Genomic DNA, 18907 nt, shown 5'->3' on the forward strand with positions numbered 1-18907 from the left:
TTCTGTTTTTGTAATAGTAGCCATCTTAACGGGTGTGAGGTGGTATTTCATGGTGATATTTCATGCATTTCTCTAATGATTACTGATGTTGAGTGTCTTCATGTGATTATTGGCCATCTGTATATCTGTTTTGTAGAAATATCTATTCAAGTCCTGTGTCTATTTTTTAATTGGGTTGTTTTGTTGTTGAGCTTTAGGAGCTATCTACATACTCTAGATATTAATCCCTTACCAGACTTATAATTTGCAAATATTTTATTTTATCCCATTCTGTGAGTTGACTTTTTACTCTATGGATAGGTGTTTTGTTTTGAGATGGAGTCTTGTTCTTGTTGCCCAGGCTGGAGTGCAATGGCACAATCCTGGCTCACTGCAACCTCTGCTTCCCAGATTCAAGTGATTCTCCTGCCTCAGCCTCCCAAGTATCTGGGATTACAGGCACTTGCCACCAAGCCCGGCTAATTTTTGTATTTTTAGTAGAGATGGGGTTTCGCCACATTGACCAGGCTGGTCTCGAACTCCTGACCTCATGATTTGCCTGTCTCAGCCTCCCAAAGTGCTGGGATTACAGGCATGAGCCACCGCGCCCAGCCTGGATAGTGTCTTTTGATGCACACAATTTCAAATTTTTCATGCAGTTCAAATTTGTCTATTTCTTTTGTTGTCTGTGCCTTTGTTATCATATCCAAGAAATCACTGCCAAATCTAATGTTGTAAAGTTTTTGTCCCATATGTGCTTCTAAGAGTTGTATTCTTTTAGTTTTACATTTAGGTCTTTAATCCATTTTGAGCTAATTTTTGTATATGATGTAATAATGAAGTTAATAACTTCTAGGCTATCTATTCTATTCCATTGGTCTACATGTCTATCTTTTTGCCATTACCACAATTTTTGATTATTGTAGATTTGCAGCAAGTTTTGTCATGAAGTATGAATCCTCCAACTTTGTTCTTTTTCAAGATCATTATAGCTATTTGGGGTCCCTTGAGATTTCATAGGAACTTTAGGACACATTTTTCTATTTGTGAAAAACAAAAGCTTTTGGGATTTTGATGGGATTTTTGGTGATTTTAATCTACAGATAATTGCATTGTATCTGTAGATTTTTGGGGGTAGTATTAACATCTTAACAATATTAAGTCTTCCAATCTATAAACATGGGATGAGTGTTTCCATTTACTTACATCATCTTTAACTACTTTCAGCAAAGTTTTTGTAGTTGTTTTTTCTAAAATTCTAAAACTTCCAAGGCCATGTCTTTTGCCACCTTGGTTAATTCCTATTTTATTCTTTTTGAAACTATTATAAATGGAATTGTTTTCATAATTTCCTTTCCAGATTGCTCATTGTTAGTGTATAGAAACGCAAGTGATTATTGTATGCTGGCTTTGTATCCTGCTATTTTGCTGAATTCATTTATTAGTTCTAACAGTTTTTTGTGGAATCTTTAGGATTTTCTACATATAGATCATACCATCTTTAAGCAGAGATAATTTTATTTCTTCTTTTCCAACTTGGATGCCTTTTATTCCTTTTCCATGACTAATTGCTCTGGCTAGGACTTCCAGGACTATGTTGAATAGAAGTGGTGAAAGTGAGCATTCTTTTCTTATTGCTGATCTTAGAGGAAAAGCTTTCAGTCTTTTAACATTGAATATGATGTTTGCTGTGGGTTTTTCACATATGGCTTTTATTGTGCTGAAGTAGTTTCCTTCTATTCCTAGTTTGTTGAGTGTTTTTTAAATCATGAAAGCATGCTGAATTTTGTCAAATGCTTTTTCTGCATTAATCAAGATGATCACATGCGTTTTTTTTCCTTCATTCTGTTAATATGATATAATGATTGATTTTCATATGTTGAACCATCTTTGCATTCCAAAAATAAATCCCCCTTTGTCACTTTGTCACGGTGTGCAATCCTTTTAATAGGCTGCTGAATGTAATTTGCTAGTATTTTGTTGAGGATATTTGCATTAATGTTCATAAGGCATATTGTATGTAGATTTCTTTTCTCATAGTGCTTTGTCTGGCTTTCCTAACAAGGGCCACACTATTCTACCTGGAGATAGTATCAGATTTCACAGGGTAAGGGCTCAGTCTCATGAGACTGACCCCACTTCACATGCTAATGTAAAGTCCCAGATTGTGAACTGTGCTTCCGACTGCCAGCTATAAATCAGGATTCAATAATTTGCTAGGATGGCTAACAGAGATCAGATAAATGCTTTACTTACGTTTTCCCATTTATTATAAAGGATACAACTCAGGAACAGCCAAATAGAAGAGATGCAAAGGGCTAGATATAGGCATGAGCTTCCATGCCCTCTCCAGATGTGCCATCCTCCAGGCACTTACAGGTGTTCAGCAATCCAGAAGCTCTCTGAACTCTGTCCTTTGGGGTTTTTATGTAGGCTTCATTACATAGGCATGATTGATTAAATCATTGGCCATTGGTTACCAACTCAACCTTCAACCCCTCTCCCCTTTCTGGAGGTCAGGGGGTGGGGCTGACAGTTCCCACTCTCAAATGACATAATTGGTCCCCTGGCAATCAACCCCCAGACTGAGGCTATCCGTGAGCCCCAAACAACCAGTCATCTTATTAGCATACAAAAAGACACACATTACTTCAGAGATTCCAAGGGTTTTAGGAGCTTTATGCCAGGAAGGGGAAAAGTGGACCAAGTATGTATTTTTAATTTTGTCACAGTCCTTATAAGAAGAGAAAAAGACTAGAGCTCACTCTCTCTGCCAGGTAAGGATACAGCAACAAAGTGTCCCTCTGTAAGCCAAGAGAGGGCCCACATCAAGAACTGAATTGGGCAGCACCTTTGTTACTAGAAAAAGATCCCAATCCAGACCCCAAGAAATGGTTTTTGGCTCTCACACAAGAAAGAATTCAGGGTAAGTCCACAGAGTAAAGTGAAAGTGAGTTTCTCAGAGAAGGAAGAAACAAAACAAAAGAATGGCTACTCCATAGGCAGAGCAGCCCCAAGGGCTGCTGGTTGGTTATTTTTATGGTTATTTCTTGATTATATGCTAAACAAGGGGTGAATTATTCATGAGTTTTCCAAAAGAGGGGTGGGCAATTCCCAGAACTAAGGGTTTCTCCCATTTTTAAACAATATAGGGTAACTTCCAGACATTGCCATAGCATTTGTAAACTGTGATGGTGCTAGTGGGAGTGTCTTTTAACATGCTCATGCATTATAATAAGCACATAATGAGCAGTGAGGACCACCAGAGGTCACTTTCATTACTATCTTGGTTTTGGCAGGTTTTGGCTGGCTTCTTCACTGCATTCTGTTTTATCAGCAGGGTCTTTGTGACCTGTATCTTGTGTTGACCTCCTCTCTCATCCTGTGATAAGAATTCCCAGGAATGCAGCCCAGCAGTTCTCAGTCTCATTTTACCCAGCCCCTATTCAAGAATCACTCTGGTTTGAACTCCTCTGCCATATTTCCCCCTCTCCCTTTTATAAGGGAACCTTTAATTTTAAGGGTTGCAGAGGGATGAAGCTCCATATTCTATAGCTTCTTCAAGCTGAATCGGGGTGGTGATACTTCTTTCTATTAGGTCTCTTGTATTCAGAGTAGGGAGGAATTCAGTCAGAAAACATCAGTATGGTGAAGGTCATTCATAACTCTGAATCCCAACAAAAGATGGTATCTGGAAGCTTAATATGTGTTCAATTTAAGAAAACATTGACTAAGGTTATCCTGCATTCTTACACGAAGAGTAAAGCAGTAATATAAGTCAATAAGAAGACTTTTCATGAACTGGAAAATTGTTGGAACCACGCTGATATAAGGTTGCTAGCCAATTCTAATACATGCCCAGAATAAGAATACTTATCCAGATTTTTACATTACCCATCCTTCTTGTTTCCTCTGAGCAGCAGCCAGAGATCACTGATTGGTTCACAGGGGATAAGCAGGGTCAGTCTTAATTGCAGAAAAAAACTCAAAAACAATAGATGAGACTAGAATCTAATAAGAGGTGTACCATAGTTTTTGAAACATAGTTTTTCTCTATCTAGTCCCCATTTTTATTTTTAAAAAATCATGGCAAGACTGATTCATTTACAAAATAAGCTTTAGTCTGATTATACTTGGGCTGATTATTTGCATAAAGAACAGCAAGACTAATTATTTGCCATATATGCTCCTTTTAAATTGACTTTGGTGGAACTTTGTTCTATCAAAAAAAGAGAAAAGAAAATCTCTTATTAGACTTTTCAAAGCCATGAGCACAACCATGGGTTTGTGTCTGCAAGTACCTGCATGAGTTGGGTAAATTCTCCTTCTCTTGAGGTACCAAAATAACTTGGGGGCTACTGAGCCTGTCAGAAATTGACATTCTTTACTTACTACAGGTCAGGAAACTTGTACAGGGATTTCATATGCAAAGTATGAGACCAGTTTTCCCAAGGGGCTTTTACTGGCTCTATAAGCCAACTTTGATTCCTTAAAGCAGTATGTTTGTATCTGAAAGCATGCCATTCCAGTCAAAGCCTCGTAAAATAACCAGCGTCTCCAATTGTGTCCTGTTATAAAAGAAAACAGATTCTTATAGCCCTTATGTAAAAAACTACATTGTCATACACTGAAGGTTTTAACATGAAGCTTTACCTATCTAACTTAAAACAACATTTTAACCCTCTAAACTAGGCAAAACAACAATGACAACAACAACCCACATTCCTATGCCTTATTATAATCTTTTACCAAAAACACATTTTACTTTCCTTATACACCTTGCATGTAAAACTATTTCTCCAGTAGTCTTAATTATATATGTTACAATATTTACTCTTAGCAACTTTTATTTTTGGTGAGAAACCTGTTAAGTAAGCAATTTTCATTATGTACCAGGTGTGGAGCCCAGGACACCAGACAGAAGTGCAGGAAAAATCTGACTCTTTCCATCCCATAGTGGGCATAGCCAACTCCACATGTCCCCAGGCCTTAGCTAGAATCTAATGGGTCCAAAGCAGGAATTTGAACAATTATCAAAAGTCAAAGAAGTAGTTTATGTAGCTTAGTAAACACAGTATATGACCTGCCTAATCTAGACCAAATATCTAAATTTTGAAGACATTTTAATTTTACCAATAATTTTTAAAACTCTTTATTTCTTAAAGATTACTAAAGTCACGTGAATTAAAAGGCATTAAATTTTCTATTTTTTCTGACAAGATATTTAAGTGCTTATTATTTTTAAGTCAATTAATCAGAGCTCTTTCATATTTTCAATAGTAAAACATCACACACAACACATAAATACATAGACAGACAGACAGAAGCAGATCTGGTATTGTTTCAAAGCTTTTCTTTCCTATTTTCATGCTGAATTCTGGGTCCCCCGAAAGAGGGAAGTGCTACAGGACCAGAAAGTGCAATGCTTTTACTATGCATTTTACTTCCAGTCCATTCCCCTGAAGCTGGTGGGCAACCCAAAGCCAATCAGCCCATCTCCTGTAGGACTTTTACCTCTCTGGGGGTGGGGGTGGGAATGTTTTCATACTTTCTAGGTGGCCAAAAGTACGCTCCCCTGATCCAAACATGCAAAGAGCCAAGTATCCCCCCATAACTGCCATTATCCATCTCTAAAAGTATATTTTCTACCTAGCTATTACATACTAAAACTAAAAGCTCTCTCATAGTGCTAAGTAATTTCTGATACCCCCAAAAGTAAAAAAATGCTAGGTAGCACAATGCAAAACAGAACGGAGCTTTAGATTTTGAGAGGCATCTATCCACTTTCAATTTCTGGGGTTCCAGGAGGAAACTAGAGGTTTTTCCAAAAACAGGGACTGTGGCACCTCCTCTGTTTTTCCCAAGAGTCCCAGGCTGTTAGAAATTATCTTAGTTCCCTTCATATGAGCATCAAGAGTGGCAAGATGACAAAATGGAGAAAAATAATTCAGTGTACTCAGAAAAAAAAAACCTTTTTTCAGAAAAACAAGATCCAAGAAGAGAACATAAATGCCTCTTAAATATATGTATAGCTTGGATATCTGTTTTTAATTAAGCCGACTTTTAACCAAATCTGTTATTCCCAGACTCCATCTGGGACAAAGAGCCAATATTTCTGGCTTTTCAATTTTACTAAAGGTAACCTCTGAGGTGAAACCAATAAGCCTAAGGTATATAAGTTATACCTTAAGTTATACCGTAAGTTATGACTTAACCATGGTATAAAAGATATTTTGTAAGAAGTGGTAAGCAGTTTTTACAAGATCTAGAATCTCCAAAGGTAGCTCAGAGAAAAGAAAATTCAAGATAGGAAGTTAGAAGTTGTTCACACAGGGGAAAATAATCAATAAATGGCAAAAATCACACACGTAGGCCGGGTGTGGTAGCTCACGCCTGTAATCCTGACACTTTGGGAGGCCGAGGCAGGCAGATCACCTGAGGTCGGGAGTTCGAGACCAGCCTGACCAACATGGAGAAACCCCACCTCTACTAAAAATACAAAATTAGCGAGGCGTGGTGGCACATGCCTGTAATCCCAGCTTCTCGGGAGGCTGAGGCAGGAGAATCACTTGAACCCAGGAGGCGGAGGTTGCAGTGAGTCAAGATCGCCCCATTGCACTCCAGCCTGGGCAACAAGAGCAAAACTCAATCTAAAAAAAAAAAAAAAATCACACATATGTCAAACCAGAAATGACTCATTCCCTAAGCTGGGAGTTGAACCTGGGATACCATTGTAAAAAGACAAAGCCTTAGCTACTGAGCTATAGCATTCGGTTGTTTCTAGTGTACTTCCCAGAAGGAGCCTAGAGCAGCCAATCTTGAGCTTGCAAAGGTTTTTTACTGTTCAAGATAATTTTTAGGGCTATGACATGAACCCCCAAAGTCCCATCCTCCAGTTGGTGGAAGTCAAAAGAAAGTACTTCCACATAGTCACAGGGTCAAGCTCCCAAGGACATAAAACAAAACAAGAGGAAAATCTCATCCAGTTTTTGTTTCAGGGACCTGCAGCAAAGTTTGTAACTGACCAGTTTGCTAGGTTGGCTTGAACAGTGGGCTTGGGTCCTACACCCACATTTTATCCTTTGGTATCCCTTTTTATGATAGAACAACACAGAAAAATTCATAGCACAAAGTACACCAGATTTGCTACAGCCTAAGAATAGCTTCACAAACCCTTTTTCCCATTAGTCAAAATCTTGCAGAGGAGACAGTGACTTTTATCATTCTTTCAGCTGGTTTACATAGAAAGAGAGAGGCCAGAAGTCTGATTCATAAGAAATTCTTGCCCTATTGCCAGCATGCTAGGTTTCTGGGTTCCCTTTCTCTAAGCGGCGCTGATGGCCTTGCTTGTTGCACCATAGCTATGGGGGTTAAGCCACATTACAAAGGAACCATAGGCAAAAAGCCTCTCAATTTTGCAAGACACCGCCCAACTGGCTGCATAGGGAAACCAAATTAACATTTTCCTTTCCAGCTGGAGCAAAATATGTGTGACAAAACAGACACTAGCCACCCTGCTCAGTGCCCAAAATCAACCTAGCAAGGCTCAAACTTGCCCCCATTGGTCCATGTTGTCTTTGATCCACTCAAAGTGGAGTGGAATGATCTCTTACTAGGAGTTTCAACGTGGGTCTCTGGGCAAGATGGAACAGCAGACAGTCGCCCTGAGTGAAAGAAAAGATAGAAAAGGGAAAGGTGAAACAGAGAGAGGGAGGAAAGGGAAAGGAAGAAAGTGCTGCTTGCAGTGAGGCAGGGGAGGTGAGGAGCTCAGGAAGGCTAGAGAAAGACCCACTCATCGCAGCTATACTGAATCAAAAGTTCAGGAAGCTGCTTATCAGTCATGAAGGAATATTTTCCAGTAGTTCCATCAGCTCTCAAGTTTCCCCCTTTCAGGAGAAAAAAGCTCCCCATGTCTCGTGATCCTGCATGTGCTCAGTCCTGTCACCCACAGCTGTCAGCAGAGAGTGCAAGGTGAATTAATCCAAAGAGAATAGCAATTAACATCCTGTAGAGCCAAATCCATTCTTTATTTTTGAGACAGGGTCTCACTCTGTCACCCAGGATGGCGTGCAAGTGGTGCAACTACATCTTACTGCAGCCTCAACTTCTCAAGCTCAGATAATTCTCCCACCTCAGCCTCCCAAGTAGCTGAGACCACAGGCATGCACCACCACACCTGGCTAACATTTTTTTTGGTAGAGATGGGGTTTCACTATATTTCCCGGGCTGGTCTCAAGCTCCTGGTCTCAAGAAATCCGCCTACCTCACCCTCCCAAAGTGCTGGTATTACAGGTATGAGCCACCATGCCCAGACTAAATTCATTCTCAACCAAGAGGGGCCTTACCAAGGGGGACCATATAGGGTATCTTCCAACATTGCCATGGCATTTGTAAACTGTCATGGTGCTGGTGGGAGTGTCTTTTAGCATGCTAATGCATGATTAACATACAGTAAGCAGTGAGGACCACCAAAGGTCACTTTCATCGCCATTTTGGTTTTGGTGGGTTTTGGCCAGCTTCTTGACTACATCCTGTTCTATCAGCAGGGTCTTTATGACCTATATCTTCTGTCGACCTCCTATCTCATCTTGTGACTAAGAATGCCCAGCCTCCTGGGATTGCAGCTCAGCAGGTCTCAGCCTCATTTTACCCAGCCCTTATTCAAGATGGAGTCACTCTGATTTGAATGCCTCCAACACCTTGATCTTGAACTTCCCACCCATCACAACTGTGAGGAATAAATAAAGTCCTATCGTTTAAGCCACTCATTCTATGGGATTTTTGTTACAGCAGTCTGAAGACACAAGGACTCCCTCAAGTTTACCCAAGATCCTCTTTATTCCAGGAAAATTAAGTCTGGGAATGAACTCAGTTTAGGCAATTTGGTCAGAGGCAAAGATGCTCCACCTTGTTGGCTCTTGTCCAACCTCTATTCACCATACCTGGGATTATCTACAAGTAGGATTCTAGTGGCAGGACCAGGATGAGGGGGACTCCAGGTAACCATGCAGGTTGCCCCTTTTTCTTTTTTCATTTCTAAGGACTTGTTGACCTAGAGAAATAAGCTGAGTCACAAAATATAATATTAAGTTTACTTGAGCCAAAGCGAGCACAGCTGTCCGGGAAGTGCTTCCAAGTTGCCTTGGGATATGCTCCATTAGGCCTTTGTAATAAGCAGGTGTTTTGTTTCTTTTTTTTGAGACGGAGTTTCGTTCTTGTTGCCCAGGCTGGAGTGCAATGGTGCAATCTCAGCTCACCACAACCTCCGCCTCCCGGGTTCAAGTGATTCTCCTGCCTCAGTCTCCCGAGTAGCTGGGATGACAGGCATATGCCAACATGCCCGGATAATTTTGTATTTTAGTTGAGATGGGTTTTCTCCATGTTGGTCAGGCTGGTCTCGAACCCCCGCTCTCAGGTGATCTGCCCGCCTCGGCCTCCCAAAGTGCTGGGATTTCAGGCGTGAGCCACCGAACAAGCAGGTTTTTAAAGGTGAAGGAAATAAGGAGTGGGCTGATAAAAAAAAAATTGTTTGACAGGAATTCTCATTGGTTTACAGAAATAACATTGATTAGTGATTGGCTATACATTGTTGAACTACTGGATATGAGTTAGGGTGTCCAGCCTATGGCATTGTTAGGTTAACTCATGGATGGTTCGCATCAGTCAATCTAGAACCCACATAGTAAGTGGCTTCAAATGCTGGCATTACAAGCATGAGCCACTGTACCTAGCCAATGCAAGCTTTTTTAAAATAGCAACATTCATCCATTCATGAGGGCAGAGGCCTCATGACCTAAACACCTCCCATTAGGCCCCACCTCCCACACTGTTGCATTGGGGATTAAGTTTCCAGTACATGAATTTTGGGAGACACATGCAGACCATTGCAAATACCAAGAGATTTAGCCGCCCTACTCCACAGTGCTTCATGCAGTTCTACAGTAACTTAGTACACCAAAACCAAAGTGCCCCCGTGGGCACTTCATTCCAAGTGACTCGTGATATTCAGATCACCTATTTTGTTACTGTGTATCAATGACTGTCAGGTTCTAATTCCTGAATAACTAGCCAGATGCTCACTGCTTTTGGTCCCAATAAAAGCAGGTATCCAGTGTCATATTCCTCTTACTTTCTTCACCCCACTCCTAGTACTAGTTTTCATACTCTCAGCATTCTGTCTCAAAAATAGAAACTGGCAATGGCTACTTGAATCAAATAAGGCAATTATTGGCAGGATGTCGGGAAAAAATCTCATAGCACTAAAAGAAGCCTAGAGATCTACACTCAGAAAATGCCTAGGACTAAAAGGCAGCCAAGGGGTCAGAATAATTTACCCCCACACAACGTCCTGGTTAGGGAGCTGATAGTACCCCCACTGAAAGCTGGCTGCAGCCACCAGCCCCGCTGCCAATGACAGAGCTCCGCATTCCCTGGAGTGCGTTCCAAACTCTTCCTGCTTCCATGTACCTCATTCCACATTCCAAGTCTCACATGTACATGTGACTGGGCAGGCTTAGGGCACTTCTAGGGCCTATGGGAAGAAAAACATCTGGTGCTTTTGGCTTTTGTAGTGTAGTTAGGTCCTGGTTTCTACTCAGAGTCACATATAGATTTGGATTTGCCCCAAACATAGAAAAGAGTTTCAAATGTTGGGGGTGTAAAAAAGACAACTACAAATACCTTCCACAAGCAACGTAAGTGGGACTGAGCCTATGCCAGAATAAAAAATCGTGGAAATTGCTTGAGGCTGCCAGAGCCTGGGGTGGTTTTCTGGCAAAGGCCTCATCTGCTTCTTGTCTCTCTCTTTGCAGGAAGATGCAGTCTAGCTAGAATGCTAACTCCAAGCCTGAGTAAGAATGACAGGAAGTCCACAGAGTGGAATAGTATTTAGCAATAAGAAGAAATGAACTACCAAGCCACAAAAAAGACATAGAAAGACCTTAAATGCTTATTGTTAAGTGAAAGAAGCCAATCCCAAAAGGCCACATAGTGTATAATTCCAACTCTAAATACTCTGGAAAAGGCAGAAGACAGAGATAGTGAAAAGGTCAGTGGTTGCCGGGGGTTTGTAGGGAGGGAGAGATGAACAGGCAGGGCATGGGGTGGGGGGTTTCAGGGCAGGGAAGCACTTCTGTATGATACTGTAATAGTGGATACAAGACGTTATGCATTTGTCAAAACCCATAAAACTGTGCAGTGCAAAGAGTGAACCGTGATGTAAACTATAGATGTCAGGTAATGATAATGTATCAATATTCATTCCTTAATTTTAACAAATACCACACTAATCCAAGATGTTAATGAAGGGGAAATGGGTGGAGGGAACTGTCTGTACTTTATGCTTTCTGTACTTTCTGTACCTTTTTCTGTAAACCTAAAACTGCTCTGAAAAATAAAATCTTAATTAAAAAAATGACAGCACGTTGGGGCTACCTGGATTATGAATCAAAGACCATGTGATCTGTATTCAAATGATTGACCTATGAGCCATTGTTGTTCTCTGACGACCACCTTTTCACCCAGTAGTGATATTCAGAGCTCTCACACAGTAAGTCACCAACGTTTTTGTGGTCTTCCATGAAACCTAGGAGGTCTCCATGGCAGACAGACACACCTTTCCTACCAGTCTCCTTCCCACCCTCTCCGTCCTCTGCCCACCAGGCAGCTGTCTGCGCCTGTGGCTCTCAGTCCCCTGCAGAGGACATCAGCTTTGATAATCAGGCCAGTTTGCGTGAAATGTCCTTTAGAACCATCCAGCATAGTTTTCCCCGAAATGTCCCTGTCAGAATCATCTAGTGTGTGCTGGGTGGGAGGAGGCAGGAGGAAGACTGGAGGTACGCGTTGTTTTTAAAACAAAATATCCAGTGCTCTCCTCAGACCTACACATCGGAGCCTCGCGCTGAGGTCCAGGTACACTGTGCAGGAGCAGCGCCCAGGTGGTTCTGGTGCCGTCAGTGCAGTCTGGTGCAGTCATTCAGCCTGCTCCCCCGACTTCCTGCCTATGCTTCTCCCTTGGAAAGATAAACAGTAAACGAGAGCTCCCAAAGCACAAATGGCCACCCTGGGTCATGATGAAAGCCTCCCACAGCCACTTCCTGAGCCAGATTACCTTGGAGCCTCCTTCGCTCCTTTTCCTTCCTCTTCCCCTACCAGTCCACAAGCCACTTGGGTGAAATTAGCCACCTGAAAAACTCACCTAATACGCGGTCTGATGGTGACTTGAGTGGCCTCAGAATAGTCGAGTTCATAGAGTATTCTGAAGCAGAAAGAAAACCAGCGGGGGGGCACCCGGATTTGAACCGGGGACCTCTTGATCTGCAGTCAAATGCTCTACCCCTGAGCTATATCCCCATGGGCCACAAAGTTTTCCAGCTGGCATTATTTCATGGTGTTGCAATGCTCGGGTGTCCTACAGTGTACAGAGATCCTTGTTCATTCCCACTGAGCCCGCGAGGATCTGCTGGCTGCATCCCTCACACCCACGCCTTCTGCCCTCATTTCCCCTAGGGGCTGTTTCCCCCCGGTAGGATGATTCCTCCGCAGGCTCTTGCAGTCGCCGCCTTTTCTTTCTTCTGTGTGAAATCAGTTATCGCTCGCCCATCTGCTTTTTGTCCTGTGGGTTTATACTTTTTTAAAAATTGCTTTCTTTTTATTAGGAAAATATTCTTATTTTAAAAAGTTGTATAGTTAAGTAAAATCTTCACATAAACAAAATAAAATAGAGTAAAATAAAATGATACAACACTACCGTATTTTAGTAGGAAAAAAAGTTTTAGAAAAAAACTCTAACCATAACTCAAATTCCACGACCTCAAATCTAATACATGCACTGTTATACATAGTTTAAAAAAATTAATATTCTCAGATTCAATCCAGGATGGTCACAATTACTAAGAATTTTTTTGTTTTGTTTTTATTTTTCATTTTTAATTGCATTTTTATTATTTTATTTTTATTTACTTCCTTTACTTGTAACATTTCCCTCCTCAAGAAGGATTGTTCAAAATGTATATTTTCTCGTTTTTAAATTATGTAATTTTGGCTGGACGTGGTGGTTTACGCCTGTAATTCCAGCATTTTGGGAGGCCGAGGCGGGTGGATCATCTGAGGTCAGGAGTTCGAGACCAGCCTGGCCAAAATGGTGAAACCCCGTCTGTACTAAAAATACAAAAAAGTAGCCGGGAGTGGTGGCCGGCGCCTGTAATCCCAACTACTCGGGAGGCTGAGGCAAGAGAATCACTTGCACCCGGAGGGCAGAGGTTGCAGTGAGCTAAGATCACGCCACTGCACTCCAGCCTGGGAGACAGAGGAAGACGCCGTCTCAAAAATAAATAAATAAATAAATAAATAAATTAATTAATTAATTAATTCTTCCTTTACTGTGTGTGTGTTAGTTAAAAAAAAAAAAGTTTAAGGCCTGGTAGACATATCCTTTTGGCTGTCAGGGCCCTCGAACCATGTCATTTCAAAATAAAATAATGTCATGATGCTTTGATGAGATGAGAATTGAATAATAAAGTTGTGTTACTGACACTGTACTGTTAGGAAATGCTTTTTGAGGGCTGAAGAAAAATAACCTCCGACTTAGAATTCTGAACCCAGGTAAACCGACAGCCAAACGTGCGGGAGAAATAAAGCCGTTCGGGATGCACACCACCTAGGCGCGTGTATTAGAGCGGAGCCTCCCTGAAGGAGCAGCCAGGGAGAGCGAAGGGGAAGCCGGGGGCACCCCGCGCCGCCGCAGCCTCCCCTGGCCTCGGCGGAAGGGGCCCTCGGTCACTAAGTCCTTCCTCGCGAAGCCCGCAGGCATCTCCAGCCGCGCGCAGTCCTGGGCGCTCCCGCCGCCGCCCACCGAGGCACAGGCACCTTCTCCGTGAGCCGGGCCCCAGGCACCGCCACTCAGCTCTGCGACGGCCGGCCCCGTGCGGCCCCAGCCCGCCCTCGCCTCCGCACCCTGGGGAGCCACCTGTCCACTTCGGAGCCGCTGTCACAGCCCCCACCAGCTCCGGCGCTGGGATTACAGGCGTGAGCCACCGCGCCCATCCCCCCATCACTTGTTATTCCCTCGCTCAGTTTTCGTAACAGTCCTTATTAGGTCTGCATTAGAGTAATGCCGATTTTTGTTAATGATCCTCACCCTCCCTATGATGGAGGCCCCATGAAGGCAGACACTTCATCTGTCTTGTTCTATGTGCTGGGTGCTTACTCACCAATCAAAAGTATTTGTTGAATAAATGGATGAATAAACAGTAAACAAAGAAAGAGATAAATATGTAGATAAATTTAAACATAAATGTTATGTATAAAAATGATAAATAACTACAGTTTCTTGGGGTTTAAAAACATGTGGTGGTGAAGGGGTGTAGTATTCCAGGTAATAATACAACAAATATGAGAGTTCTGAGAGAAGTTAAAATACTCCAAATTCCCTATCTTAGTTTACAAGTGAGAAAATATATTATTAGAAAAATTGGGCTGGGTGAGGTGGCTCACGCCTGTAATCCCAGCACTTTGGGAGGCCGAGGCGGGTGGATCACCTGAGGTCAGGAGTTCTAAACCAGCCTGACCAACATGGAGAAACCCCATCTCTACTAAAAATACAAAATTAGCTGGGCGTGGTGGTGCATGCCTGTAATCCCAGCTGCTCGGGAGGCTGAGGTAGGAGAATCACTTGAACCTGGGAGGCAGAGGTTGCGATGAGCTGAGATCAGGTCATTGCACTCCAGCCTGGGCAATGGGAGCGAAACTCACTCTAAAAAAAGAAAGAAAGAAAGAAGAAAGAAAGGAAGGAAGGAAGGAAGAAAGAAAAAGGAAAGAAAGAAAGAAGAAAGAAAGGTTAAGTATACACATTAAAAAGTACTGGGCAACCACTAAAAAAATAAAATAAAATAAAATAAAATAAAATAAAAATACATAACTTACAAACCAGTAGGGATGGGAGTAGATTTTTCTTCAAGTAATCCAAAACAAAATAGAAAGAAGGATGAAGAAGAAGGTATAGAAGGTAGAAGAAGGAAAAAAGAAGAAAATGAAAAAGGCAAAATGATAGGAACAAGTTTAAATCTATTAGTAATCACAAAAAAAGATGAATTAAACTCAAATATATCCACGGCTAGACATTCATAAGAGATTTTCTCAAAATATAAAAATAAAGGTTAAAAATAAAGTAACTGAAAATGACTGACCAAGAAAAGGTATCAGAATATTTATATGAGAAATAAAAATTTATAGAAAAAAAATCATTAATGGAAACAGAGATTTTACATTATAATAAAAGAAAAAAAGTCCTTCAAGGTATGACAATCATGCCAAGTCTTGAACTATCTAAAGCAAAAATTGACAAAATTATGCCAAAACATTATAAATCCCTAATCAGAGATTTCTATACAACTCTGTCAGAAACAGATCAAATAGGTGAAAATATAAGTAAGGCTAAAGGATATTTTTAAAAATAATCAAATTACCAAGAATATATATGTATAAATACGTTAAAATCTCTCTTGCCCTCTCTAGAGGACAAGAAAGATGAGAGAGAGAGAACTACAATCAACAAATACAGCAAATATACTGTTAAAGCACTCACAGAATATTTACAAAAACTGAGCAAATACTAAGATAGAAAATAAGTCTTTAAAAAATTCTGCCAGGCACAGTAGTGCAACCCTGTAATCAATCTCAGCACTTTGGGAGGCCACGGCAGGAGGATCACTCGACTCCAGGAGTTTGAGACCAGCCTGGGCAACATGGCAAGACCCACAACAAAAACACAAAAACTAGTTGGGCTTGGTGGCACGTACCTGTAGTCCCAGCTACTTGGGAGGCTGAAGAGGGAGGATCACTTGAGCCTAGGAGTTCCAGGCTGCAGTGAGCCGTGCTTGCACCCTGCCTGGGCAGCAGAGTAATACCCTATCTCAAAAAAAATAAAAAATCTAAGGAATCACAATTGTATGACCACAATGCAGAAACATCAGGAAACTCTAATAATATAAAAATGCCACATATGTTCAGAAACACACTACCAAAAAATGACAATATAAACACAACAAAATACTGTATATGAAAGATTTCTTTAATGCAGCAATCAAATAGATATGTTTGAAGATGAAAGAATATTAATGAGCTGATCATTCAATATAAGATTATAGAAAAATAACAATAAAGCCTAAAAATACTAGGAAGGAAACTTAGAAGATACAAGGAGAAAAAAAGATACAAATCAAGATACAAAACAACAGAGAAGGACAAATCCAAGAGTTAGTTATTGAAACAAATCATAAATCAGACAAAGCTCGGGCAAAACTGCTCAAGAAAAAGAACATACAAATAAAAAACAAGAAGAGGCCGGGCGTGGTGGCTCATGCCTGTAATCCTAGCACTTTAGGAGGCTGAGGCAGGCGGATCACGAGGTCAAGAGATCGAGACCATCCTGGCCAACATGGTGAAACCTCGTCTATACTAAAAATAAAAAAAATTAGCTGGGCATGGTGGTGCGTGCCTGTAATGCCAGCTACTCCAGAGGCTGAGGCAGGAGAATTGCTTGAACCCAGGAGGTGGAGGTTGCAGTGAGCCAAGATTGTGCCATTGCACTCTAGCCTGGTGACAGAGCAAGACTGTCTCAAAAAAAAAAAAAAAAAAAAAGAAGAAGAAGAAGAAAGGCAAAGGGATACAAATACAGATATTGTAGAAATGCAAAAAATCATGAGCTGCTATAAATGAGTTTATAACAACCATTAAATATGTATAACTATAAAATAAATTGTTACATAATTTCATCTTATGTACTCAGATGAAATGTATATCTTTTAAATAAATTTAATAAATGATCAAAAATTTCATTTAAAAATGGACAAAGATTGCTTTATAGATGATTTCTACAAAACTTTTGTGAACAAATGTGAACCTGGGCTGAGTGCAGTGGCTCACACCTGTAATCCCTGCATTTTGGGAGGCTGATGGAGGTGGATGGCTTGAGCCCAGGAGTTGAAGACCAGTCTGGGCAACATAACGGGACCCTGTATCTACTAAAAGTACAAAAACTTAGCTGGGCATAATGGCGCACACTGTGGTCCCAGCTACTCTGGAGGCTGAGGCAGGAGGATAGCTTGAACCCTGAGAGGTGGAGGCTACAGTAAGCCATGATCACACCACTGCACTTCAGCATGGGTGACAGTGAGACCTGTCTCAACAAGAAACAAAACAAAAACATCAAATGTGAACCCGAAACAGCCAAACTTCAAGATAGATACTGAGTGGCTAACTGGAACTAAATTTAACATGGAGCCAAGGCACCATTTGCCGACTAGGGGGTCATGCAAAACCCTTAACTTTTCTCCCAAAGCCCACATCTTTTTATCTTTGTGGCTTTTCTGCCAAAAGCCCACATCGTTTTATCTTTGGGACTTTCAGAGCTCATGTGCCTCAGCCATTCAGGGCTGAGCCATATCAACCAATCAAAGCTCAGCTCTATTGACAAAACAGAATTCCTCTGTATCAACCAATCAGTACTCAGCTGGGCAACATAACAGGACCCTGTATCTACAAAAAATACAAAAAATTAGCTGGGCGTCATGGTGTATTGCCCAATCAAAACTCAGCTGCCTCAATCAGAACTATGCAAGTTTCAAGCCTTCATTTGCATAAACGGACCTTATAGAGAACCTGGGTAGAAACTTTTGCTGTAAAACTCAGCCTTCCTTTTGGTCTCTGGAAGGCATCTTCATTTTACATCAGAGGGTGTGCCTCCCTGGTTTGCAAACTGTTCCTGGAATAAAATCTGTTTCCTCCAAAGTCCTTTTTCAGAGAACTTTTGTTCACACTTTCAAGAAACAGATCATTCCTGTCTCTCCCCGATGGTAGGAAAAGAACTACCCAATTTATTTTATAAGGCTAGTATAATATCATCTCCAAAGTCAGACAAAGACTGTGCAAGAACATACAGATACAGATGCAGATAAACTCCACTTACAAAATTAAATGTAAAAATCCTTAATAAATATTAGCAAATTAAACCTAACAACGTTTTTTAGAAATAATTTATTATCAAGAAGGGTTTATTCTAGGAATACAAGGATGTTTCTTCACTAGGAAATTGGTTAATGTAATCCATCACATTAATATATTACAGGAGAATAATTATATGATATCAATAGATGAGGATTTGATAACAATCAATATGTATTCATGTTTTATTTTTTAAAAAAAGCTCATAGCAAATTAAGAATATCAATAAATTTCCTTCACCTGATAAGCAGAATTCACCATGAACCAATAGCAAACATAATATATGAGAAGCTATCCTGTTAAATTCAAAAACAAGGATGCCCACCATCACTCTTACTATTCAACATCATACTAGACATCCTAACCTCTACAATAAGAAAGATACATTGAAAGAATAAGGATTGAAGAGACCAATTGCCCTTTTTACAGATATTATGATTGCCAACACTTAACATGTAAACAAATTATTAGAACAACATTGTTCAGCAAGATTACCGAGTGCAAAATTGACCTACAATGTTGCGGGAAGTCAGGGATCCCAAACAGAGGGACTGGCTGGAGCCACAGCAGAGGAACATAAATTGTGGAAGATTTCATGGACATTTATCAGTTCCCAAATAATACTTTTATAATTTCTTATGCCTGTCTTTACTTTAATCTCTTAATCCTGTTAGCTTCGTAAGCTGAGGATGTACGTCACCTCAGGACAACTGTGAAAATTGTGTTAACTGTACAAATTGATTGTAAAACATGTGTGTTTGAACAATATGAAATCAGTGCACCTTGAAAAAGAACAGAATAACAGTGATTTTTAGGGAACAAGGAAAGACAACCGTAAGGTCTGACTGCCTGTGGGGTCAGGCAAAAAGAGCCACATTTTTCTTCTTGCAGAGAGCCTATAAATGGACGTGCAAGTAGGAGAGATATC

General features: G+C 40.8%; 1 non-coding gene across 1 annotated transcript; it reads right to left on the minus strand.

Annotated features, from left to right (window-relative positions):
* Nucleotides 1-12258: 12258 nt before the first annotated feature.
* Nucleotides 12259-12330, minus strand: TRC-GCA17-1 (tRNA-Cys (anticodon GCA) 17-1). Its single transcript has one exon. It is a non-coding gene; the product is annotated as a tRNA-Cys (tRNA).
* Between the last annotated feature and the right edge of the window lie 6577 nt (nucleotides 12331-18907).

This window comes from Homo sapiens, chromosome 7 (genome assembly GCF_000001405.40).
Source record: "Homo sapiens chromosome 7, GRCh38.p14 Primary Assembly".
Classification (NCBI taxonomy): domain Eukaryota; kingdom Metazoa; phylum Chordata; class Mammalia; order Primates; family Hominidae; genus Homo; species Homo sapiens.